A 26,768-nucleotide genomic window follows, 5' to 3' on the forward strand; every position below is an offset into this window, starting at 1 on the left:
GTGCAATGGCGCGATATTGGCTCACTGCAACCTCCACCTCCCAGGTTCAAGCGATTCTCCTGCCTCAGCCTCCCAAGTAGCTGAGATTATAGGTGCGCACCACCACGCCTGGCTAATTTTTGCATTTTCAGCAGAGACAGGGTTTCACCATGTTGGCCAGGCTGGTCTTGAACACCTGACCTCAAGTGATCTGCCCACCTCAGCCTCCCAAAGTGCTGGGATTACAGGTGTGAGCCACCGCACCTGGCCTTCTTTTATTTTATTTTTTTTTTTTTGTATCTTTTGTCAAGACAGGATTTCACCATGTTGCCCATGCTGGTCTTGAACTCCTGGGCTCAAGCGATCTGCCCCCCTTGGCCTCCCAAAGTGCTGGGATTACAGGTAAGAGCCACCGCACCCAGTGGAATCTTCTATTCTGAAACTCGAAACAAAGTTGGAAGGGGTAGTTACCGTTCCTTCATCCATCCATCTATCCATGCATCCATGCATCCATCCATCCATCCATCCATCCATCCATTTGTCAGGTCCTGGGTACATGCTGGCACTTAGGCCCAGATCAAAAGTCTCAGGAGTCAGACAAGCAAAGGACAGCGTCTCCATCAGCCCCCGTGGCACCCCTGCCCAGCCCGGGGCCCCACCTCGATAGTAGATGTCACGGAAGGGCGAGTTAATGAACTCCCTCATGTTGCCGGTGCGCTCCGCGATGTCCAGCAGCACAGGGATGGTGTCGTTGCGGCCATTGCTCAGGTTCAGCAAGGCCTTGGGCAGGCAGGTCTTCCCCGTAGATGGCTCTAGCAAGAGAGACACACAAGATGACGCAGTGCTCCAGCCCATGACCTTGAACTTCCAGGCATCGGGGTACAGAACACTGGGTAGGGGGTCAGATGTCCTGGCTGTCAACATCTCCTCTCCAAGCCTGTTTCCTCATCTGTCCAGTGGGGACCCAGGGCCACTCTATCTTTCTGCCTCCAGTGGTGCTGAGAGGGTACAATAAACGCATGGGGTTAGGTGCTTTGAAATGTGAGAGGCTTCAGCCTACAGATTGGTATTTATTTAATTAATCTTATTTGGGAAGATTTTGTATTTATTTTTATTTATTAATATCCTTTTTTTTGAGAGAGAGGGTCTCGCTCTGTCATCCAGCCTGGGGTATAGTTGTGCAATCCTAGCTCATTGCAGCCTCCGATTCCTGGGCTCAAGTGATCCTCCCACCTCAGCCTCCCAAGTAGCAGCTAAGACTACAGGTGTGCACCTCCATGCTCAACTAATTTTTTAATTTTTATTTTCGTAGAGAAGGGATCTCACTCTGTTACCCAGGCTGGTCTCAAACACCTGGCCTCAAGTGATCCTCCCACCTCAGCCTCCCAAAGTGCTGGGATTACAGATGTGAGCCACCACACCTGGCCCTCGAAAAGATTTATGTAAAGTGCTTCATAAACAAATAAATGGTTAGAATGCTGGGTTAAACAAAGCCAATCATAATTCCTTACTACAGGACTTCTCAGAGCCTTTCATACACTAACAGGGACTGTGAACCTGTAAAAGCAAGACACACTAGGCAGCATTCACCCACCTGTCAGAGCATCGAATCCTTTTCCCATGAAGCATTTACACTGGTGCCCCTAGAAGGGAGTGGAGGGGTGCAGCGTTCCCCAAAGTGTGGGACTGTGTGCCACAGTGGATGTGAACTGACCTTAGGGGATCCAGGAGAGAATCTTGGGGGTTCTAGGGGGTGCAACAATAATAACCCTGAAGGTTTCATCCACTATCGAATCTTTCTCATGAAGTCAACTCTCCGTTTGGTACTAGCGGGTCCTTAACACCTCTCACTAACGCTTGCTGATGTCTCTTTGCAAGTTTCTTTCTGTTGTAGCTATTTTTATGGTTACCTGAGTTGATTTATATCTCAAAAGAGTAAGTTGAAAACTCCCCTGTGAATCAAGGACAGGGCAAAATCAGCCAGGGGCTCAGGAATGGCCAGAGGGTGGGAGACGCAGGTGTGGGTTCAGGTGCCCGTTCTGAAGCCAGGCACCTCAGGTTTGAGGCCTGGCTTTGCTCCCCACAGCTGTATGACCATTTCTCTGCTTAGGGTCCTTTCTGGCTAAATTAAAGCTATGAAGGGAAATCAAAGAGCTAATCAGTGTTTGTTGATTAGCCCAGTACCAGGCAGATAGCAGTCTTTGATAAATATTACTGTTGCTGTTATCAATCCATGAGACGGGATTTAGGAACCGTCTCCCTAAATGCCGGGAATCAGTGGGGCAGACTCAAGAGACCTGAATTCTAGTCTCAGCCCTTCCAGGAGCAGGGTTGTTTGGGACAAGTCTTGTTCCCAGTTGCTTTCCCGCTGTCCACCTGGCGCCCAGCTCAGAGGCGACACCAAACCTCTCATGGAATAATGTGGCCCAGCCACCATCCCTCTCACATGCCTAAGACACCTCCTTTATTTCCCTCATTTCCCCCAGCCTCTCTGGCCTTCCTTTATCCACTTTCCACATAGCAGCTGGAATGGTCATTTCAGACTGCAATAGACCACGGTGAACTACAGGGTCTTTGCACCTGCTGTCTCTGAACCCCCACCCCAATCTGAAACATTCTTCCCTCCTCTTTTCACCTGGTTAACTGCAACTCACTCAGACTCTGCTCAAGTGTTACCTCCTCCAGGAAGCTCTCCTGGATTTTCCCTGACTAGGTCAAATCCTCCAGTACAGCCTTTTGTTGACACCTGTTACAGTTCATAACTGTGTGCTTATTTATGTGGTTGCTTGGTCAATGATGGTCCTGTCCAGGAGCCTGTGGGCACCTTGAGGGCAGGGTGATGTCTGCTTTGCTCACTATCATTCGGCCTCTGCCAAGCACAGTGCCTGGTATGTGGTAGGTGCCCAACAACCATTTGCTGAGTTAACACACATTGAATGAAGGCGAGAGCTGGGCACCCCAGGTAATTCCAAACCATAGGTGACCCAAAGTGGAACTAGAGACCCTGGATTCGGGCTTTCAGACACAGGTTATAGACCCAGGGAGGGGACGCCTGGGTCCTGGGAGAAGATGTCAGGAGCAGCATCTTCCCAGAGATGAGGTGGAACATGCAGTTCCAGGAACCAGCCACCAGGTGGCGAAGTGGCTCTGCCCAGGGTGGGGTGCTGTAGCCAGGGGCTCTAAATTGACAATTGCCAAATTGGAGGTTGTGAAACTCTGCGGAGGGGAGGTGGGGGCACAGGAGGGCGTCCCAGACTTCCCTGATAATCAGATGAGCTCATGACCTTTTAGCCATGCAGGGACGGATCCAGGTTTTGTGGGACGTAGACTAGGTCGAGGACCTCAGAAAGGGCCTTAGCCAGGGGCCCTGGCACTTAATTAGTATCATGGACCTCACAGTAAGTCTCCCTCTATGCACATACGCTAGCCTCTGCAATTTCAGAGACCCACCTCCAAAGCCTATCTTAGAGTCCCCCACCCACACTCATGCACAGACACACATGCATCTGGGTTCCTGGACTATGCTAGAAGCCCCCAACTCAGTCCTGAATTCAGAAGAAGCCAGAGGCCTTGACAAGCTAGCCTGGTGCTGAAGGCACAGGTGCCAGCATCCATCTCCCAGGATTCGCTCTACCCCAAGATTCCGCACTTTTGCCTCACGTACTTGGTGGACCAGGAGAGGCCATTTGGCCAGGGCTTAAACATGGGTTATCTCCGAATGAGATTACTCATGCCATCACTGAGCTACTCCAGGAGCAGAGAGAAGCCCCGTCCTCCCACAGCTCTAAACTTGTGCCTCCAAACGAGGCCACGTCGCGTGGCCAGGAACCATGAATGAATATTTTTCATAAATCCAGCAATTGTATTTTCTTTTTTTTTTTGAGACAGAGTCTCGCTCTTTCGCCCAGGCTGGAGTGCAGTGGTGCAATCTCGGCTCACTGCAACCCCCACCTCCCAGGTTCAAGTGATTCTCCTGGCTCAGCTTCCTAAGTAGCTGAAATTACAGGTGTGTGCCACTAAGCCTGGCTTTTTTTTTTTTTTTTTTGTATTTTTAGTAGAGACAGGTTTTTACCATGTTGGCAAGGCTGGTCTCAAACTCCTGACCTTAGGTGATCCACCCGCCTCAGCCTCCCAAAGTGCTGGGATTATAGGCATGAGCCACCGCACCCGGCCCCAGTAATTGTCTCCTGATGGACACAATGATACTGCATCGTATTGTTTCAGGGTAAGAATGAGGTTGAGGCCAGCCTCAGTGGCTCATGCCTGTAATCCCAGCACTTTGGGAGGTTGAGGCAGGAGGATCGCTTGAAGCCAGGAGTTTGATACCAGCCTGGGCAACATAGTGAGACCTGTCTCTTAAAAAAAAAGAAAAAAAAAAATTTAGCCAGGCATGGTAGCTTGCACCTGTAGTCCCAACTACTCTCGAGGCCGAAGCAGGAGGATTGCTTGAGGCCAGAAGTTCAAGGCTGCAGGGAGCTGTGATCACACCACAGCATTCCAGCCTGGGTGACAGAATGAGACCCTATCTCAAAAAAAAAAAAGAAAAAAAAAAAAAAAACAGGTTGATAAAGGTATATGTGGATGATGTAGCACAGACTTGTTCACCCTGTTTGGGAACTTAATTTACTTAAAGTAACTGAAGTCTTAAAAAATGTCCTCTTCTGGCTGGGCACAGTGGCTCATGCCTATAATCCCAGCACTTCGGGAGGCCAAGGCGGGCAGATCACCTGAGGTCGAGAGTTCAAGACCAACCTGACCAACATGGAGCGACCCCGTCTCTACTAAAAATACAAAATTAGCCGGGCGTGGTGGCGCATGCCTGTAATCCCAGCTACTTGGGAGGCTGAGGCAGGAGAATCACTTGAACCCAGGAGGCGGAGGTTGCAGTGAGCAGAGATCATGCCATTGCACTCCAGCCTGGGCAACAAGAATGAAACTCTGTCTCAAAAAAAAAAAAAAAAGCCTCTTCTGACATCCCTGAAGCCTCCTCAGACTTAGGCTGTAGACCAACCATGGTCCGCCTTCCAAGATGGGCCCTTCTTCATAGCAGGTATCACAATTCTTTTTTTTTTTTTTTTCCTGTCTGTCACCCAGGCTGGAGTGCAGTGGCATGATCACAGCTCACTGCAGCCTGAGCCTCCCAGGCTCATGCAACCCTCCTGCCTTGGCCTCCCAAAGTGCTGGGATTACAGGTGTGAGCCACCATGCCCAGCCTTGGTGTCACACTTCTTGACATGGTATCTTGACTTGTGAGATCACGGCCAGTTTAATAATGGCTTACCCAGAACCCAGCACATTGCAGGTGGCTGATTTGGGTGCAGGTGTTCACAGGTAAGGCCTGGGGCTGTGGAGGGTGCCGGTGTCCTGAGGTGGGTGTTTTGAATCTGGACAAGGCTGAAGGGTTAGCTCTCTGGGCTGGGGCTTCAGCCTAGGAAGTGGAGCCCTAAAGCTAGGCTGGGGTGGAGCAGACCCCAAGAAGTAGAATCAGGACTACCAGCCCAGACACCTGCCCATCCCTCCAGACCTTCCCTCAGGGGAGCAGGAGCTCCAGGACTCCAGCTGCCTGCGCTGGGCTCTCTGTGGGATGAGAGCCAGGAGTATGCTATGATTATTCCCCAGTTTACAGATGAGGAAACGGAGGCTCAGAGAGGTCACACATCGCTTAACTGGTAAAGGTAGAATCTGAACCCAGGTAGGTGGACTCTGCTTACCCACTACACTAACCTTTTCATACATAAGGGCTGAATGAATGAAAGAATGAATAAATGGAGGTAGCTGAGGCACAGAGAGGTTAAGTAACATGGTGAAGGACACACAGGACCAGACTCCCTGTCCAGTGCACTTTCCAGGCCAATGCAGTCCACCGACCCAAAGAAAGAAGCTGAGGGGAAAGGGGGCCCCCAATGCCAGGCTTCCCCCACACCCCTGGCTGTCCCACTGGCTATGCCCATCTGGGTGGCTCACCTCGAAACTCCTCATCAGTTAGGCGTTTCTTGTGGGTCAGCAAGAATGGGAGCAGCCCGTCCAGGTCAGCAGTGGAGCCCCGGGACACGATGTCAAAGAGGATAGGCCGGTTGAAGACTTTGAGGATGGGGGGCGGCTGAGGGGCAGGGGCTTTGGGGCTCTGCGGCTGCTTCCTGGAGGAGGTAGGGAGGCAAGTTGATGGGAGGGCTCATCCCCTGCCTGCCCCACTGTCCCTGGCCTTAGGGACCCAGAGACTGTGGTGGCGGGCAGGCAGCTGAAGCCTTACAAGGAACAGGGTGAGGTAGTTGGGGCAGATGTAAAAACTAAGTAATGTTTTATCCAACAAACTATAGCTAGTACCTACTGTGTGTTGGGTGGAGACAAACAGAAAGAAATGCACAGACTGCCCATACATCTATCCACCCATCCATCCACACATCCACTCACCGACCCATCCATCTATCCATCCATCCATCCATCACTCATCTATCCATCTACCTATCCACCCACTCATCCATCTATCCACCCATCCATCCATCACTCATCCATCCATCCATCCATCTACCCATCCACCCATCTATCCATCCAACCATCACTCATCCATCCATCTACCCATCCACCCACTCCTCCATCTATCCACCCATCCATCCATCATTCATCCATCCATCCATCCATCTACCCATCCACTCACCCATCCATCCATCCATCACTCATCCATCCATCCATCTACCCATCCACCCACCCATCCATCCATCCATCCATCACTCATCCATCCATCTGCCCACTCATCCATCCATCCATCCACCCACCCACCATTCACCCATCCACCTACCCACCCATCCATCCATTCATCACTCATCCATCCATCACTCATCCATCCATCCACCCATCCATCCACTTATCCATCCGTCCATCACTCATCCATCCATCTACCCATCCACCCACCCATCCATCCATTCATCCACCCATCTAACTACCCGCCCATCCATCCATCCACCTACCCGCCCATCCATCCATCCATCCCTCATCCATACATCCACCCACCCAGCATCCACCCATCCACCTACCCACCCATCATCCATCCACCCATTCATCCATCCATCACTCATCCATCCATCCATCCCTCACTGATCCATCCATCCATCCACCCACTCATCCATCCATCCATCCATCCATCACTCATCCATTCATCTACCCATCCACTCACTCCTCCATCTGTCCACCCATCCATCCACTACTCATCCATCCATCCACCCACTCATCCATCCACCCATCTGCCCATCCATCCACTCACCCATCCATCCATCCATCCATCCATCACTCGTCTATCCATCCATCTGCCTATCCACCCACCCACCCATCCATCCATCCATCCATCCATCCATCCATCCAACTGCCCATCCACTCACCCACCCACTCATATATTAGTCATTTATTGAGTACTTACTAAGGCAGAGAAACTGAAAGAGACAAAAACAAAGATAAAATAAAGAAACAGCAGACTAAAAGATGAGGCATTTCATCCATTCATTCCATAACTAACCCATTAATTTATTCATTCAACAAACATTTGAGACAAATGAGGCCATGCTCATATGTACCTGCCCATGGCCCACCACACGGTAAACATTCAATAAATGTTAGTTGATATTACCATTATTAATGAGTGCCTACTGTGTGTCTGGAGCTTGTATGTGCATGGGAGAGATGTGGGGCTACAGAGGCAGATGGCGGAAGGGTGTGGCACAGAGAGGGCTGGGAAGAGAAGAGATAGAGAGAGAAAGGAAGGAAACAGACACTAAGAGCTGGAGGGCTTGGAGACACTCATTCAGTCATTCAACAAACATTATTTCGGCACCTATTATGTGCTAGGTTCTGAGAGAGAAAGAGCTAGCCCAGGGCCACCATGAGGCAGGAATGCTCTCTCTGTCACATTCTTACCTGGCCCAGTGCCTGGCACATCTTGGGATGCAGTAAGACTCTGTTCAATGAATAAGAGACTAAAGAGAAGGAGGAAGATGGAGGCACAGGGTCTGGGAGGGAGAAGAGGGGAGAGTAGGGGAACAGAGAAAACCCTAACAAGAGGCAGCAGGGCCAGAGGGGAAGGGGAATGCAGTTGGGGAAACTGAGGCCAGGGCAGGTTGTGGAAGCAGGTGGGACGGGGTTGCAAGGGTGGACAAAGCTGGCATCTGGCTGTACCCAGCCTGTCTTGCCATGAGAAGGGGACAGCCACTCTCCTCCCTTCCTCTTCGCCAGGGGTTGAGATTTTCCATCTCAGGGCAGGTACTGGCAAAGGGGATCATTAGCATCCACAGTAGGGTAAGACGTGCTCTCCTGTTGACAGGGGCACAGGCACAGATACAGCCTCTAATGAGGGCACTTAGGCAGCCCCCACTTTACCTCTTCCTGAACTTTGACCTTTGAGCCAAAAAATAAAAAGCAATACTGCCCCCACCAGATCTCACTGAGGCAGCCTTCAGGGCTCAGCCGTGCCCCACTTACTCCACCAGCCTGGACTTCCTGGGGTAGGGGTGGGGAGGAGGGCTTGCGGGAGGGGAATGGGAGATACAGAGCCCACCAGCTTTCAACAGGACCTGGGAAGGCTTGGGGACAGAAGGATGGGAACACTGGGCACTCTGCTGCTCTGGCCCTTAGTTTCCACCTCTGAGCAGAGGTTGTACAGATTTTTCAGCACAGACAACTGTGAGGCCCTATTCCTTGGCGACATCTGCAGAGCCTCTCCAGCCTTAGGCCCTTGCACTCACACTTCTCTCCACCTACAACACCCTTCCCTCCCTCTCTGTGACTGCCCCTTCATGACCTTTAGCTTTGGGCTTAAATGTCAACTCCTCCAAGAAGCCCTCCTGGATTACCTTTCTTGTATCCACCCACTCTCTAACTTCAGCACCTCCCCCAACTCACATGGCACATCCATGTGCTCAGCTACTTGCTTCTTGTCTGTCTCACCCTCTAAACGGAAAGTGCCGCCTGAGTAGAAGTGGATCTGGTCTGGCTCAGCCTGAAGCCTCAGGGCCAACCCCACTGACTGGCAGACAGTGGGCACCCAAGAAACATCCACTGGCTGGGTGCGGTGGCTCACGCCTGTAATCCCAGCATTTTGGGAGGCCGAGGTGGGCAGGTCACTTGAGGACAGTAGTTCGAGACTAGCCTGGCCAACATGGTAAAACCCTGTCTCTACTAAAAATACAAAAATTAGCCGGTTGTGGTCGTGCACACCTGTAGCTCCAGCTACCCAGGAGGCTGAGGCTGGAGAATTGCTTGAACCTGGGAGGTGGAGGTTGCAGTAAGCCAAGATAGCGCCACTGCACTCCAGCCTGAGTGGCAGAGAAAGAACCTGTCTCAAAAAAAAAAAAAAGAAAAAGAGACATCTGAATGAATCAATGACTGTGAATAAATAAAGGGGGCGGCTCTTGACCAAGCAAGGGCTGTGAAGGTGAATCGGCTCCATCCAAGAGATAAATGAATCTGTGGCCAGCAGGGGGACAGAGGAGGACACGCAAGTCCAGGTCATCTCCAGACCTCAGCACCATCCTCCAGGACACACACACAGGCCACCGAGAGGAGATTTCATGGAGCAGTTGAGGAAAGGGTCAATTCAGGGCACATTAGGGACAGCAGGGCCGGGACATAGAAAGGATACAGTTCAGCAGGGCCTGCTGAGGCTCAGGAGGAGCTGGCTAGGAGACTGCAAGCCCTGCTCCCTCCTCCAAACTGCCAAAAGCTTGTGGAAGTCCCTGGGCTTCCTAAAGGACCAGGAGGGAGGGCTCAACCTCACAAAGCAGGGAGTCTGCAGGTGACAGACAATAGAGTCATGCTGGAAACAGAACCCGGGATGTCTGAGTTTGCAGAGTGCCACACAAACCACATGCAGATGCCAGCATAACACACTGGGGGAGGATGGGGACCAGACAAGGTGGTCAAGGGGGCTGGAGGCTCCCTGTCCCCAGCTAGGCCTGGCATGGAATGCGTCATAGGGGCCACATGCTGTGGCCCCATCCAGGGCTTCTCTCCAGTCTGTCTTTTCTTTCAGCAAGGCTGTCATTATGGGAAAGAAGGTTGAATGCCTTGGGGTTTCCAGCTCTTTCTAAGCCTCAGGAAAGCCACTGGATGGCCAGGAATGGAGGTGATGATTGAAGAAGACCCAGGAGGGGCAGCTGGATGTGTGCCAGGAAGAGAAGGTAGGGAGATGGATGGATGAATAGATGCAAAAATGGAAGAAAAGATGAGCAAATGAATAAATGAGTCAGTGACTAAGCAAACAAAAGAGTGAATGGACAAATGGATGGACAGAGATCTGGGTGAATGAATTGGTGGTTAGAAGAGAGAAGGAGAGGAAGGAAAGAAGGACAGCAGGCAGGTGAGCAATCAAGCATGAGAAATGGAATGAATGAATGAATAAATGAATGAATGATGAATAGTTTGATAGCTGAATGGCTAGATGACTAGAAACAGTGGGTAGGTGAGAAGATGAAATGACATTCAGATGAGAAAATGGTAGATGAATGGAAGGTTGGTTATATGGGTGTATGGCTGGACAGATGGCTGACAGATGGGTAGATGAGTAGATAGATATTTTAATGAGTGGACAATGGATCTATAGATTGGATAGGTGGACAAAAAAGTGTAAAGATGGGTAAATGAATGAGTAGATGATAGATGGATAAATGGATGGATGGATGGATGGATGAACAGATGTATAAATAAGAAGATAAACAAATGGAAGGCTGGATGTGTAGGTGAAGAGATGGACAGACAAGTAGATTAATGGGGGACAGATGAGTACGTGGATATGTAGGTGAATAAAAAAAGATGAGGCGGGATGCGGTGGCTCACACCTATAATCCCAGCACTTTGGGAGGCCAAGGCAGGTGGATCACGAGGTCAGGAGTTCAAGACCAGCCTGGCCAAGATGGTGAAAACCTGTCTCTACTAAAAATACAAAAAAAATTAGCTGGGTGTGGTGGCGGGTGCCTGTAATCCCGCTACTCGGGAGGCTGAGACTGGAGAATTGCTTGAACCCAGGAGGTGGAGGTTTCAGTGAGCCGAGATCATGCCATTGCACTCCAGCCTGGGCAACAGAGCAAGACTCCATCTCAAAAAGAAAAAAAAAGCAGATGAATGAATGGAGAGTTAGATGAGTAAATAGTTGTATAAATGAGTGGGTGGAAGGGTGAATGGGTAAATGGGTAAATGGCTGAGTTTGCATTTGTATAAATGCATTTGCATTTGTATAAATGAGTGGGTGGATGGATGCATTGTATAAATGAGTGGGTGGATGGATGAATGGATGAACAGACAAATGTCCTATGGAAGGGTGGACAGAGGGGTAAATGGGTAGAGTAATGGATGATGGATTAATAGATAGATGGATGATGAATAGATGGATGGATGATGGATAGATGGGTAGATGGATGGATGGATGATGGGTGGATAGATAGATGATATATGGATGGATGGATAGATTAATGGATAGATGGACATATGGAATGATGAATAGACGAGTAGATGGACAGATGGAAGGATGATGGATGAATGGATGGATGGATGATGGGTAGATGGATAGATGGATGGATAGTAGATAGATGGACAGATGGAATAATGATGGATAGATGAATAGATGGACAGATGGAAGGATGATGTATAAATGAATAGATGAATGGATGGATGATGGATGATGGATGGTTGGATAGATGGATAGATGATAGATGGCTGGATGATGGATGGATGTATGGATGGATGATATATGGATGGATGATATATGGATGGAGAGATGAATGGATCGATGGATAGATGTATGGATGGTTGGATGGATGGATGGAGGATATAGAGATGGAGAGATGAATGGATTGATGGATAGATGTGTGGATGGTTGGATGGATGGACGAATAGATGGGTGGTTGGATGGATGGATGGACGGATGATATATGGATAGGGAGATGAATAGATGGATGGATAGATGTATGGATGGTTGGATGGACAGATGGATGGATGGATGAATCGACGGATGGGTGGATAATAGATAGAGGGGTGGATGATGAATGGGTGAATGGATACAGAGGAGGAGACCACAGGCCAGGAAGCTAACAATACTCACTCTATGATCTTCTTCCTCCACCTCTTGTTGTCACTGGAGTGGTGACGATAGGTGCCGTAGTCAAACAGTGAGTCCATGGGTGCTTTCTTGGGCCCAGGCACCACCGAGGACTCATATAGGGTGGACTCCAGCAGATCGATGGGGTTGGGCACCCCCTTGCGGAAGGCGCCCTGGAACTTCATGCGCAGATTTGGTCGCCCATCGCCTGGGCCAGCAGGGCGACTGGCATCAGCCGGTGAGGGCGAAAGGGAGCCATCCTCCCCCTCAAACAGATTGGCCAGGGAGGAGAGAGGAAAAGCCTCCCCACCTGGGGTGCCACTCTCATCCCCGGGGAGCTCAGCCACCTCCCCGGGCCCCGCGCGGGGGCCTTCGCTGGAATCCGCCATGCCTGCCCCAGGCCCGTCTGCACTGCTCAGCCTGCAAGGGAATGAAAGGGGAGTCAGGCAGAACCCGGCCAGGGGCGGGGGCTCCAGGAAGCCCCCTCCCACGTGGACAAGCAGCAGTGCTGCCAGCTGCTTCAAAGCCACCGTTGTAATGACAGGGGCACAGGGAGGCCACTCCCAGATGTGGTTGGCCGCCAGCCTCAGGCGGGAACTGCAACAGGAGCCTCTTTCACGAACCTGGAAACACAAATTGGCCCCAGGTCCAACTACCCTGGGCATTAGCTGAAAGAGGGTGGACTTCAGGGTCAAGCTGGGACCCCATACTTGGATCCCAGACCCTACTGCTGACCAAGAAAGCCAGCTTTGGAGCCCCAGAGAGCCAAGTTCAAATCCAGGCTCCACACTTAGTCATTCCATGACATTGAGCAAGTCGACATTTCATAGCCTCAGCTTCCTGATCTGTAAGATGGGGATATCCAAGCCTCATGGACAGAACATGCAGTCCAGTGGCCAGTGCAGTGCAGTGCCTGGCACGTGGTAAGCACCTGCTAAGGCAGAACCATTAACCGTGGGCTTCAGGCACAGGAGGGGCTCAGAAAATCCATGTGGACTTGCTGTGTAGGCCGGCAGTCCTTTTCCTCATCAAACACTGTCATGATGAACCCATTTTACAGAACAGGAAACTGAGGCTCCAATACTTGAGTTGACTTCCCCAGTGCACAAACTCTGCTCCCCAGTGCAAAGTGCTGATCCCTCCCTGCACCTTTGCTGGTCAACTCCTCCCCACTGGTGTTCCAGCTCAACTGGGCTCCTCTGGAAAGCCCTCCCTGGCCTGCACACACTCGCTCCCAGGATCCATGCTCCTCTCCTCAGAAGCTTTATCCCAGCTGTTCACGGGATGGTTCGTTCCCAGGCTGTGGGTGCCAGGAGGCAGGAAATGTATCTGTCTTGTCCATCCCTGAGTCCTCACACAAATGAAAAACTTTATGACAAAGATGTCATTTGTTCCCATTTCTCAGATGAGGAAGCAGCTTTCAAAGGCAGCAAACAGCTTGCAGGAAGAAGAGCTGGACTTGAACCATGTCTCTCTGGCTCCCGGGTCCAGTGCTTAGCCAGGAGCCAGGGCAAGGGAGGGGCAAGGCCCCACTGGTTGGCTGTCAGTGCCCTGCTCTCTGTAGCATGGTGCCAGCCAGGCAGGGCTGGGCACCAAGGGTGAGTTTCCTGGAACTCTTACCACCCCACCCGGGAGGCAGGGGCATGTCTGAAAAGCCCTCTCTTGTACATCTCACCCTTCCCACCCAATACGCACGTAGAAAAACAAATAAACTAGTTCCCACCTTGTTTGTTCTGTGGCTTCCAGGAGGGAAGACTTGGACCAGAGAGGTGGGGACACAGCAAGAGGCCTCCCTTAGTGGGCGCAGCAGGACACAGAGGGTCAGAGCTCCCACTGGGGGTGGGCTTCCCTTTGGACACCAAAAGGGAGAGACAGCCTGGCCTTTGGAGTCATTCAGGCCTGGGTTCTAATCCCAGCTCTGCTATTTACATGTAGTGTGATCTTAGGTAAGTTACTTGAGCTCCCCAAGCCTCAGTTTCCTCCTCTGCAAAATGGGTACAATTGTAGTCACTTCTTCATAGGGTTGCAGGCAGTGGGAAGTGAGGTCAGATATATCCAGTGCCACTTCTGGGATTAAAGTGGGGTTTTGGCTCAGTGCAGCAGCTCACGCCTGTAACCCCAGCACTTTGGGAGGCCGAGGCGGGTGGATCACTTGAAGTCAGGAGTTCGAGACCAGCCTGGCTAACATGGCAAAACCCCGTCTCTATAAAAAATACAAAAATTAGCCAGGCGTGGTGGCACGTGACTGTAGTCCCAGCTACTTAGGAGGCTGAGGCAGGAGAATCACTTGAACCCAGGAGGCAGAGGTTGCAGTGAGCCAAGATGGCGCCACTGCACTCCAGCCAGGGCAACAGAGCAAGACTCTATCTAAAAATAAATACCTCAGGTAAGTTGCTTAGCCTCTCTGAGCCTCAGTTTCCTCATCTGTAAATAGAGTGGGACTTTCAGTTATTATAACCAAACGAAGAAAGAGAAGTTAGGAGGCCAGGTTCTGAAATGAGACCCAGTTCCTCTCTTGGCCCTGGTCATTAGCCGTTTGACCATGGGCAAATCACTTCCTCTGTCTGCCCCGTGGTTTTCCCACCTGTAAGACTGGAGTGACCACGCCTCCTCCTAGGGTCCTCCAGCATGTGAGGCACCTACTCAGTTCCAGCACCTAGTAGGACCTCTGGAGACACGAAGTCCTTTCGACTGGCCAGACAGGAGAGGGGGATCTGGATCCCTAGTCCCTCATGGCTGCCACATGCATTTGGGCTTTGCTCTGCAGGAATGGGGGCCAGGGGGTTGCTGAGGCAGGAGGGGCATCTGCAGGGGCACAGGCATTGGCGGGAGGTGGATTAGACTCTCCTGGGCATGGCCCTGTCCACCTCACTGGGGGCCCTGAGGTCAGGGGGAGACGAGGCATCAGGCGCACCCTCTGTGTTTCCAGTACCCTTCTATCCACTGCACCCCTCACCATGGCACCTCAGGGGCTAATGGAACCCCATCCCAGGGAGCTCCCAAGGCCAGAGAAGGCAGCCAAGAAGGTCCTTCCATCCCCCACCATGCCTGCACCCTCCTCCCCTCAGGAGGATAGCCCTCCCCTAAGCCTGGACAGCACCCCAGGTTCCTGGGGACTCCAAAATGGGGGCTCTGGTGCCAGCCAATCCCAGGTTCAAATCCTCTCCCAGCAACTGTCAACCTGTATGGCTGCTGTGTGGCCTTCGGCAAGTCACGCCGCGATCATGATTAGCATTCTAATTAGGATGAAATAATAATTATGAACTAAATCACCATCCTCGCCTGATGACGTAGCTCAGGCTGTGCCCAGCACAGGGCCTCATCCAGCCCTCATCATGACTCCAGACCAGTGGTTCTCAACCAAGGACAGTTCTGCTCCTCCTCTAAGGACATTTGGCAATATCTGATGACATGTTTTGTTGTCACAACTGTACAGGAGAGGGAGCACTACTGGCATCTGGTAGATCAAGGCCAGGGATGGCACTAAACATCCTCCAAAGCAAAAGACAGCCCCACACCACAAAAAAATGACCCAGCCCACAATGTCAATAGCGTCGAGACTGAGAACATCTGCCCTGGAAGTAGGTACTGCGATCGTTCCCATTCTACAGATGAGGAAACTGAGGCTCAGAGAGGCTAAGTGACTTGCCTGAGGTCACACAGCAGGTTAGTGACAGAGCCAGGACTGAAATGCGGGCAGCTGGCTGCAGAGCCCAGATTGAATCCCTCCATGGACTGGGGATGTCCTGGGTGCCAGGTGAGGGTGAAGGGGAGCCATCCTCACCCTCAAATAGATTGACCAGGGAGGAGAGGGGGAAGGCCTCCCCACCAGGAAGCTCGGCCACCTCACCAGGCCTGCACAGGGGCCTTTGCTGGGATCCGCCATGCCGGATGGTAGTAAACATCCTCCAAAACAAAAGACAGCCCCGCACCACACAGAATAACCCAGTCAACAACATCAACAGCGCTGAGGTTGAGAAAATCTGCCCTGGAGGTAGGTATTGCAATCATTCCCATTTTACAGATGAGGAAACTGAGGCTCAGAGAGGCTAAGCGACTTACCTGAGGTCACACAGCAGGTTAGTGATGGAGTACCAGGGTACCACCCGAGCGCTTACAGTGTCTCCTTCAAGCTTCACAACCACCCCCAGGAGGAAGGGATGATTACTGCCGCCCATTCTCATCTCTCTGAGCCTCGGTTTCTCTACTTGTAAAATGGGGATTGCAATAATAGCACCTCCCTTGTAGGGCTTCTGGGAGATAAGGCAGGTCAAGTGTTTCTTGGGCACCTAAGAAATATTTGATAAATGTTGGATCTTGTCACATTTAATTATCATCATCACCACTATGATATGGTCCTGATTTACCTGTCCTCCTTACTCCCCTTCCCCAAAACACACATGCACACACGTGCCAGCACTACAGCCTGACATTTTATAGCCCATGCTAAAATCCACCAAGCCCCTCTCTCATTCAATCCCCCGAAGAACCTGAACAAAGCTAGGCTATTGCTCCCACTTTACAGCTAAGGAAACGGAGGCTCTGAGAGGCCAGCTAGGGAGCAAATGGCTTTGAAGAAAACCTCTAGACTCCTAGCCCTGGGCTCCTTCCACATCACAGCACTCAGGAGTGTGTACACACTAGCTCACGTGTACACATACACATAGGCATGTGTACACACACACACACACACCCGGCTCTGCTGCTCTGTGGCAATTCCCTCCCCAAACACTGTCCTGTTCTCTGTGGTCAGAGAAAGAGTTTACTCCCTGTTCTAATTTGCCCTAAAGGCTGTTATTACACATTCCAAACTCATGCCAGTTTTAGGAGGGAGGGAAGTCGGGGATGCAGGCAGGGAGAGAGGCTGAGAGCCTGGGTGTGAGTCCACATGTGTCTCCTCTGCGTGTGACTGTCATGTACATTTCTTCCCACCTTCCTCCATGGGCGTGTGCATGTGTGTGTGCCCACTGTGAGCAGGCATGGTGGGCCCTTCGTTCCCGCACGGGCTCACAATGCCTCCTACCAGGAGCCCCTCCACAGTGGGGAAGCTCCCAGCTGCACCAGGTGTGCATCAGGGAGGCACCCAAGAACGTTCCTGCACGACTGTGAACATCCTCACACACTGACATCTTCACAACAGCGTTCATTCAGAGCAGCGGGTGTTTGTTTGTTGAGACAGGGTCTCACTCTCTCACCCAGACTGCAGTGCAGTGGCACAATCTCAGCTCACTGCAACCTCCTCCTCCCAGGCTCAAGCAATTCTCCTGCCTCAGCCTCCCAAGTAGCTGGGATTACAGAAACATGCCACTACCACTCAGCTAATTTTTGTATTTTTAGTACAGACGGGGTTTCACATGTTGGCCAGGCTGGTCTTGAACTCCTGACCTCAAATGATCTACCCGCCTCGGCCTCCCAAAGTGCTGGAATTACAGGCATGAGCCACTGCGCCCAGCCAAAGTAGCGGTTTTTGAATATGTTGGTTTTAAATCCTATATATTCAAAAGCAGGTTTATATTCAAACTCTTCTTTAGAATATATATACTGAATGGTGGTCCACACAGAGATGGCAGTTGTGTAGGATGGACAAAGAATCTGCATCTTCCTCTGGAAAGGGCCCAAGGGGCAGCAGTAGAAGCCAGCTACCTATTTATTCCACACATTTATTGAGCACCTACTATGTGCCAGGCACTGTGCTAGACTAGGGACACAGATGTGAACAGAACAGATATCAATCCCTTTGGGGGCAGACCTTCTGGTGGGGAAACAATAAACTAGACAAATCAAGCAGCAGAGTCATGTCGGATGGTGTTAAGAACTGCATAGACCAGAAGGGCTCAGGAGTGGGCAAGTTAAGGGGTGCAGGAGTCCTGAGTAGGGTGATGAGATACAGGGCTGAGCCAGGGTCCCCAGACCTTCCTTTCTGCCCTAGACAGAGACCCCAGGCTTTCCAGAAACCTGGCTTTCTGCTCTCATGGCCCCCTGAGCCGGTGGGGCACATTTTGACGTCAGGCAGACCAGAGGGTCAGATCCCAGACCCACAGCTCACTTGCTGGGTGAGTATGAGCAAGTTACCCAACCTCTCTGATCTTCACTTTCTTCAGCTGCCCTATTTTTTTTTTTTTTTTTTTTTTTTTGAGACGGAGTCTCCCTCTGTCGCCTAGGCTGGAGTGCAGTGGCGCATCTCCACTCACTGCAAGCTCCGCCTCCCGGGTTCACGCCATTCTTCTGCTCAGCCTCCTGAGTAGCTGGGACTACAGGCACCCGCCACCACGCCCGGCTAATTTTTTGTATTTTTTTAGTACAGACGGGGTTTCATGGTGTTAGCCAGGATGGTCTCGATCTCCTGACCTCGTGATCCGCCTGCCTCAGCCTCCCAAAGTGCTGGGATTATAGGCGTGAGCCACTACGCCCGGCCCTCAGCTGCCCTATTAAGGGATCGTAATAGGGTCGTTGTGAGAGGTATATACCTTGAGTCAAGTGCCTGGCATAAAGAAAGCCTCAATAAACAGCAGATTGCACAACAGATGGCTTCTCTCTGAGAATCCCGGATTCAAAGGCGGTGGAGGTCTCTGGCTCCGTCCCCATGCCCCAACTTGCGGAGGGTGGAAAAAGGGGCCCATCCTCGGGGTTACCCGCGGCTTTGCCTGATCTCATGGAAACCCTGGCAAACATTTGTCAAATCCCATCCTCCTGATTACGTGACCAAGGAAAGCTGCTTAAATCTGGGGGCAAGTTTGGGCATGCAAACCTGCTCCGCCCCAGCGGGGAGGAATCCAGGGAGCTGGTTTCTCCCGGTTCCCTCCCTTCTGGAATCAATTCATTCCACCAGGCATCAATGCAGTGGCACCTGTTTGCAGGGCACAGGGGAGACATAAAAGTGTGGAACCTCAGAGAACTCGCAGTCCAGGAGGGAAGGCTGATGGCTCTCTCTGCCTCCAGGCCTTTGCCTAGGCTGTTCCCTCCGCCTGGAATGCCCTTCCCTTCGCTGGCTGGCTCCCACTTACTCCTCAGGCCTCATGTTAAAGGGCACTTCCTCTGAAAAGCCCTCCTGTTTCCCCTGCTCTTTACTCTTAGAGTAACATGTGCCTTCCTTTACAGCACTTCCCACGATTAAACTTTTCTATATATGTATTTTTTTTTTCAAGAGAGTCTCGCTCTGTCCCCCAGGTTGGAGTGCAGTGGCATGATCTCAGCTCACTGCAACCTCCGCCTCCTGGGTTCAAGCAATTCTCGTGCCTCAGCCTCCTCGAGTAGCTGGGATTACAGGCATGCACCACAACACCCGGCTAATTTTTCGTATTTTTAGTAGAGGCAGGGTTTTGCCATGTTGGTCAGTCTGGTCTTGAACCCCTGACCTCAGATGATCCACCTGCCTCAGCCTCCCAAAATGTTGGGATTATAGGTGTGAGCCACCGCACCCGGCCTATATATTATTCTTTGATTCATCTTCTCTCTTCACCTCCAGAGTTTTAGTTCCATGTGGTAGGGACTATTTCGTGTCCCCTGTGTCCCCAGCATTCAGCATGGTGCTGAAGCAAAATGAGGTGTCAATGAATATTTGGTTTTTTTAGGCTGTAAGATCAGGGACCTGAAGTTCCAGGCAGGGTTGCAGAGCAAGGGCAGCCAGAATCCTGATGGGGAGGGGGAAAGGCTGTGAGGAGGAGGAGGAGGAAGATAAAGGGCAGAGGAGGTGTCAAGGACAAAGGTGTAGAGGGGAAAGTGCAGGGTGCACAGAGGAATGGTGTGGCCTGGGGCACAGGGAGAAGGAAAGCAGAAGAGATGGGTGAGTGGGTGGGCAGTGGGGAGGTGGGTGGGGGTTGGAATCCATGGGTAGGAAGGAGCCCACAGAGAAGGTGCTCAGGCTCCCAGACAGACCCAGTGTGCTTCTACCTCCCTCCACCCTGGGGCTCCTTAGCCAATTTGGGGGCCCCCACTTCCTGTGGTACCCTCAAATAAACACAACTGTGAGTGCCTGCCATTCCAAATCAGTCTTGCCGGGGACATGTGGATAGGAAGGTACTAGGAAGACAAGGACTCTGAGCTTTGCTGTTACTAGAGAGAAAATCCCAGACCTGTCCACCCCCTCCCCACCTTCCAGGTAAGAAAACTGAGGCTCAGAGAGGCGAAGTCATTTGTCTGGCATTGCCTTGCTCCAGAAAGGGGGAGGCAGGATTAGAACCCATGCATCCCCGGGACCTGCGCCTTTGATGGACACTTTACAAAGACAAGGGAACTCTGGGAGGGAGAAGCTGGAGAAAGAATGGAGTGGGGGATGGGTCGCAGTCCCTGACGAACCACCAGTTCACCAGCTCTGGGCAAGTCACCTGGCCTGCCCATGCCTCGGTTTCCTCACCTGAAAAATGGCAATGATCCTAGCACCTACCCCAAGGGAACTGTCGTGAGGGTTACATGAGATAAAGCATGCAAAACACTGAGCCCAGTGCCTGGTACAGAGCATGCATTCAGTCAAGCATGGCTGCTGTTGGAATCATCAGTATCAGTGTACTATTTATTAGTATCATTAGGGGAACAGATGAACAAAAGGACTGAGGACCAAGGAAGGCAATGACTCCTAGAGAAGGCAGAGCGGCCAGATCCAGAGCCTTGGAGGTAGACTCTGGCAGCCACCTCGAAGTGGCGGCTGCTGGGAACAGCCGGCTGGGAGCTCAACTCCTTGGCCAGGCGAAACCTACTGCCTGCCAGGCTACCCCACGGCTCCCAGGCACTTGGCAGGCGGCAGCAGTAGGGGGGCATCATGCCATGCCCAGCACCTTCCCTGGCCAGCCTGTATTTACCTAGCAGGTCTCGGCCCAGCCCGCTTCCTGTTTGCTGCACAGTGGCCGCCTGTCCAGGACAGACAGAGCCCCAGTGTCCTGCTGGGCCCCCACCCCATGCACTCACACCACCCAGGCAGGGCAGGTCTGGGGTGACTCACCGCGCCCCACGGAGGGCAAGGCCAGCGTGGCCACGGCAGTCATTTGGTCATTCTGCAAGCCCTTGGCTGGAGGGAGGCCGGCTGACAGCACACACAGATGCCCCTCTGAGCTTTCACAGGGACCAAGTCATTTCCAAGGGTCCCGGCCCCTGGGTAGGAGCCACCAAGAAGCGGTGTGGCTTAATGGTTAAGAGCATGCACCTTGTAGACACAAAAGGCCACATATTGCAGGATTCCATTTATATGAAATGCCCAGAACAGGCAAATCCACAGAGACAGAAAGCAGATTAGTTGTTGCCAGGGGCTGGGAGTGGGGAGTGGTGACTGCTAATGGGTACAGAGTCCTTTTTTGGGGTGATGAAAATGTTCTGGAATGAGATAGTGCTGATGTCTGTACAACTCTGAATACACTAAGAAACCAACTGAATTGTACGTTTTAAAAGACTGAGTTATGAGTATGTGAATTACATCTAAATGACCCTTCCAGGCTTAGTGACCTCAGGCAGGTCACTTCCCTCCCAGAACCTCAGTTTCCTTGTTGCAACATGGGAATGTCATGGAGATTAAGCACACATAAAGGGTTTCTTTTTTTTCTTTCTTGTGTGTGTGTGTGTGTGTGCGCATGTGTGTGTGACAGAGAGAGACAGGATCTTGCTCTGTCACCCAGGCTAGAGTATAAGTGGCACAATCTTGGCTCACTGCAACCTCCGTCTCCCAGGTTCAAGCAATCCTCCTGCCTCAGCCTCCCAAGTAGCTGGGATTACAGGTGCCCACCGCTGCGCCAGCTAATTTTTGTATTTTTAGTAGAGACGGGGTTTCACCATGTTGGCCAGGCTGGTCTCGAACTCCTGACCTCAGGTGATCCGACCGCCTCGGCCTCTCAAAATGCTGGGATTACAGGCGTCGGCCACCGTGCCCAGCCACATAAAGGGTTTCAAACAAGGTCTGGCACGTAGTAGGAGCTCAAGGATACAAAGTCACTACCCCAGGAGGCTCCAGGTCCTTCTTCCCTTATCTCGCTTCCTTCCCATCAGAGCATAGCCCCAGGATTCCACCCTCTCAGCCAGCCCTGCTTGAGAACATGCTACTCAGCTCCAGCCCAGGAGGAGGGAGGCATCAAATTCTTAGTCCGGCCGGGCGCAGTGGCTCACGCCTGTAATCCCAGCACTTTGGGAGACCGAGGTGGGCGGATCACTTGAGGTCAGAAGTTCAAGACCAGACTGGCCAACATGGTGAAACCCCATCTCTACCAAAAATACAAAAATTAGCCGGGTGTGGTAGCATGCACCTGTAATCCCAGCTACTCGGGAGGCTGAGGCATGAGAATCTCTTGAACCCAGGAGGCAGAGATTGCAGTGAGCAGAGATAGCACCACTGCACTCCAGCGGGGGCGACAAGAGCGAGACTCCATCTCAACAAAACAAAACCTTAGGCCCGCCTTCTCTCTGGCCTAGCCCCTCTCCTAGAGGATGGTCACAGCCACGGAGAACTCCAGAGAGGATTCTATAGTCTGAGAACGTTGCCTGATCAATGCTTTACATCTCATCTGCCACTCACTGGCTGTATGGTCTTGCACAAGTCACATCTCATCTCTGGGCCTTGGTTTCCTTATCTGTAAAATGGGAGTAATAATTACTACGACCTGGGTGGGGTTAAGCCGTATTTGCTCCATAGTTATTTGGTGTATAGCACATTCATGCTTTAAACTAAAAAATAAGGCTGGGTGCAGTGGCTCACACCTGTAATCCCAACACTTTGGGAGGCCAAGGTGGGAGGATCGCTTGAGCCCAGGAGTTCGAGACCAGCCTGGGCAAAATGGTGAGATCCCATCTCTACAAAAAATAAATAAATTTATTTATTTTTTAAAATATTAAAAAATAAAATAACAGCTCCTACCCCAAAGAGCTATTGTGAGGATTAAATGTGATAATTCAAGCCTTCAGTGCAGTGCCCAACAAACACCAAGTGTTCAATGAACTTGAACTTATTTTTTAGTTTAAAGCATGAATGTACTGTATACCAAATAACTATGGAGCAAATACAGCTTAACCCCACCCAGGTCGTAGCAATTATTACCCCCATTTTACAGATAAGGATGTTCAATGGCTGCTTTGCCATTCTTGCTAACATTCCCTCAGTTTGCAGTGGGAGGTGGGGGATGATGACATTGAGGTCCAGGGAGGTCAGAACTGGGCAGGCACTGGAACCCAGACTTCCCGGCTCCAAAACCAGGGCTCGTGACTGCAGAGACCTCACCTTTGGAAAGGGTTTCCTCGCCACCTCATTTCCATCTTCTGTCACCTTTAGAAGGCTGTCAGGACAAGGGCTGCCTCCCAGCTGGGAGACTAAGGACCAGAAGGGACAGGACACTCGTCCATGCATACGTTCCTCTACCCCACTTCTAGGAGCAAAAGTCCCGAGTTTGCCAAATCAGAGGAGGGGGAAGAGGGCAGGTGCCCGTTATGAGTGGATGGGGCAGGAGTCGGGGAAGGGAGCCCAAGGCAGCAGAAAACCAGTTTGAGATCCTTCCTCTGTCCCAGCCCACCTCAACACCAGTCTGTGCCAACAGTAAGCTGCTGCCTCAGGGGTTAACTGCTTGGAATTATGACTGAGGCTAATGCCTGCAATGTACCATCAGTAATGCCTACCCTCCATGGCACACTTCACACAGCACCTCCCATTTGGTTGTTTTTTGTTTTGAGACAGGGTATGGCTTTGTCACCCAGGCTGGAGTGCAGTGGCACAATCATAGCTCACTGCAGCCTCGACCTCCCAGGCTCAAGCAATCCTCCCACCTCAGCCTCCCCAGAAGCTGGGACCACAGGCATGTACCACCATTCCTACTTTTAAAATTTATTTTTTGTAGAGATGGAGTCTCACTCTACTGCCCAGGTTAGTCTCCAATGCCCGGGCTCACGTGATCCACACACCTTGGCCTCCCAAAGTGTTGTGATTACAGGCGTGAACCACCATGGCTGGCCCCTTCTATCTATTTTAATCCAAATAATAACTATAGACATTAAATATTATTGTCTCCATTCCCAGATGTATAAAGTCAGTCCCGGGGGAAAGGAGGTAAGGGCTGACATTTATCCAATACCTATCATATGCTAAGCACTTTCACATTTCTCTCTCATTTGAGGTCGGTGTTATTGTTATCATTTCACAGATGAACAAACTGAAGATCAGAAAGAATGAGATTTAACTGAGTCCACAACGCTACAGGAAGTGAATGTGGCTAGACTTCCAACCATCTGCTTTTAAATCCATTTGAGTTCATTCATCCCTTTGGGGGCTACCATGCCCTCTCCCTAGGACCCCCCTTCTCAACGCCATATCCCTTGGAACTCAGCAGGACAAGATGGCACAGTGGTGACAGGCTTGGAGTCTGAATCTTGACTTTGCCATTTAGTAACTGCGTGGCCCCAGACGGATCACTTGACCTCTCCGAGCTTCAGTTTCCTCACCTGTAAAAGGGAGCTCATCACAGTTCCCACTGCTGGATTACTTGTCATTGTGGGTATCAGAGTCTCACAAAGTGGCCTCAAAGCACTGCGTGTGGAATGATGTCACTCGGACAAAAGCTCTAGGGCGGAGGGACTCCCTTCTGGTAACTGCTGAGGCCCAGATGCCTGGAACAGGTCCTGGCACATAGCAGCTGCTCAAGATGTATTTGCTGGATGAATGAATGAATGAATGAATGAACAGAGGAAAGGAGTGAAAGACGGGCTTAGTCATTCTCTCCAGGGCAGACAGGTCTCCAAAGCGAACCTCTGCCCAGCTAACTAATTAGCTTCCTCCCATCCATTTTTTAACAGACAGCTTACGGAGCACCTGCTATGTGTGGGGTTTTCTGGCCTATAAGACCAACACCTCTCATGAGGACAACTATCGTGAGCCCATTTTATAGATGAAGAAATTGAGGCTCAACAAGACCAGGACACTCACTCAAGCACACTTGGTCTCAGAGCCAGAGCCTGTATCTGAGCAGGTGCTTCCTTCTGATGCCCTGCCTGGCTGGCTTGTCCAGTCACTCATTCCTTCCTTCATTCATCCCTTCACTCTATCTACAGGTATTCCTGAGCCCCTCCTGTGTGCCAAGCAGGGACAGGAGTGAGCCAGACCCATGGGTCAGTCAACCCCATGCCCCCTGTCCCACCCTCACCTGCTGGGGTCTCAGCCCAAAGCCCATGGAACCCACCCTCCATAAACACACACACACACACACACTACACACAAATACATATACACATTACACACATATACACATACATACACACAATATACACACATACATACATATACACGCAAACATACACACACATACACACATGCACACATAGACATTCACATACACACATACACATGTATATACATACACATATGCACACACATACACACAGACATACATATACACACATACACACATATATACACAAACATACACATAAACATATAGTCATACATATACACACATACACATATATACACATATACACATACACATATAGACATACATATACACACATACACATACACACACAGACACACATACGCACATACACACGCACATCAATATACACACACATACACACGTACACAAACACACACACAGGGAATGGTCCCAGAAGGTGGCCAGCCCACTCGGTCAACCGGGTGGAACCCAGGCCACTCCACCCTCAGGGGAAAACGGGCGCCTGGTGAGACTGAGGAGCTCTTTGTGCAAGGGGCAGGGTGGGTGGACAAGAGGGGCTGCTGTTACTCACTAACCAAAGAAATAGAAGGATATTCCCGTTTGGTCAATGGCCCGCCTGTCTGTCCCCTGAGCCCCCGCCTCCTTCTGTGGCCTTTCCAATGCCCTGACCTCATCTGGAGACCGGCAAGGGCTTCCTGTGCGCCTGGTGTGGTCTCGTGTGATCCTCCCTCACCGATGAGGAAACATGCTCAGAGAAGTGATGTAACCTCCTTGGGGTCACACAGCCGGCAGTGGCCAGGGCTCGGGGCAGAAAGGGGAAACCAATGCTCAGGAAGGGGCTAGGGGTGGGAAGGAAGTCAGAGTCACATTGAAAGTGAGGCCCTGTCCCTTCCTCATTCCTGTCCGGCCACTGGGGTGCCAGCTCATGGGCTGCAAGGGCACCCGAGGTTGAAGGAGCCCAGGCCAGAACAAGAGCAGCAGCCAGAATAACCCAAATCCCTCCTCAAGTTGGCAGAGCTCTGACCTCAGCAAAGCCCAGGAACAGAGAGCTTAAGCCACTTTCTGAGGTCACAGAGCAGCAACTGGCGGAGCTGGGAGGTAAGCTAAGGTGGCTCAGACGCCAAGGTGGGTGAGCCTAGCGTAGCTTTCCACGCAAGAAGCTAAGCTGGCCACTGGGCTTTTCGTGGACCCAAGGACACCAGTGTCACTCAGATCTGGCTTCCAGCTCCAGCTCTGCCATGAGCCAGCTGGGCATCCCTGGGTAAATTGCTTCCTCTCTGAGTCTCGATTTCCTCAGCTGTAAAATGGGGCTCAGCATTCCTGCCCCTGCCCACCCCCGGCAGTGGGGAAGCTGTGACACCATCAAAATGAACATCAGCCCTCACACCTGTAATCTGAGCACTTTGGGAGGCCAAGGCAGGAGGGTTACTTGAGCTCTGGAATTCCAGACCAACCTGGGCAACATAGTGAGACCCCTGTCTGAAAAAAACCTTTTTTTTTAATAAGCTGGGTGTGTCCCAACTACTTGGGAGGCTGAAGTAGGAGGATCTCTTGAGCCCAGGAGTTCGAGGCTGCTGTGAGCT

At 51.4% G+C, this 26,768-nt stretch overlaps 1 protein-coding gene across 16 annotated transcripts in view, besides 1 other annotated feature; it reads right to left on the reverse strand.

The window, feature by feature from the left end:
- TRPV4 (transient receptor potential cation channel subfamily V member 4) overlaps positions 1-26,768 on the reverse strand; it is a 50,312-nt gene that overhangs the window by 19,266 nt on the left and 4,278 nt on the right. For 7 of the 16 annotated variants that reach the window (XM_047429295.1, XM_047429293.1, XM_047429294.1 and 4 more), the window contains 3 exons: positions 12,059-12,475; positions 5,944-6,116; positions 639-791 (listed from right to left, as the gene is read on the reverse strand). In XM_047429295.1, the coding sequence (XP_047285251.1) occupies positions 639-791; positions 5,944-6,116; positions 12,059-12,444 (712 nt within the window). In that variant the 5' untranslated portion in view covers positions 12,445-12,475. Of the gene's footprint in view, positions 1-638; positions 792-5,943; positions 6,117-12,058; positions 12,476-16,117; positions 17,282-24,457; positions 25,251-26,768 lie in introns of those variants that run through there. The other 9 variants (XM_011538631.3, XM_011538632.3, XM_011538630.3 and 6 more) reach the window with 7 other exon arrangements.
- Positions 18,826-19,326: an enhancer, noted in NCBI's record as "H3K27ac hESC enhancer chr12:110258983-110259483 (GRCh37/hg19 assembly coordinates)". NCBI's record gives its function as "activates a minimal SCP1, AML or CMV promoter by ChIP-STARR-seq in naive H9 embryonic stem cells {active_cell/tissue: H9 hESC(naive)}" and the evidence as "EXISTENCE:reporter gene assay evidence [ECO:0000049][PMID:30033119]".

The sequence above is a fragment of the Homo sapiens genome, chromosome 12 (genome assembly GCF_000001405.40).
Source record: "Homo sapiens chromosome 12, GRCh38.p14 Primary Assembly".
NCBI lineage: Eukaryota > Metazoa > Chordata > Mammalia > Primates > Hominidae > Homo > Homo sapiens.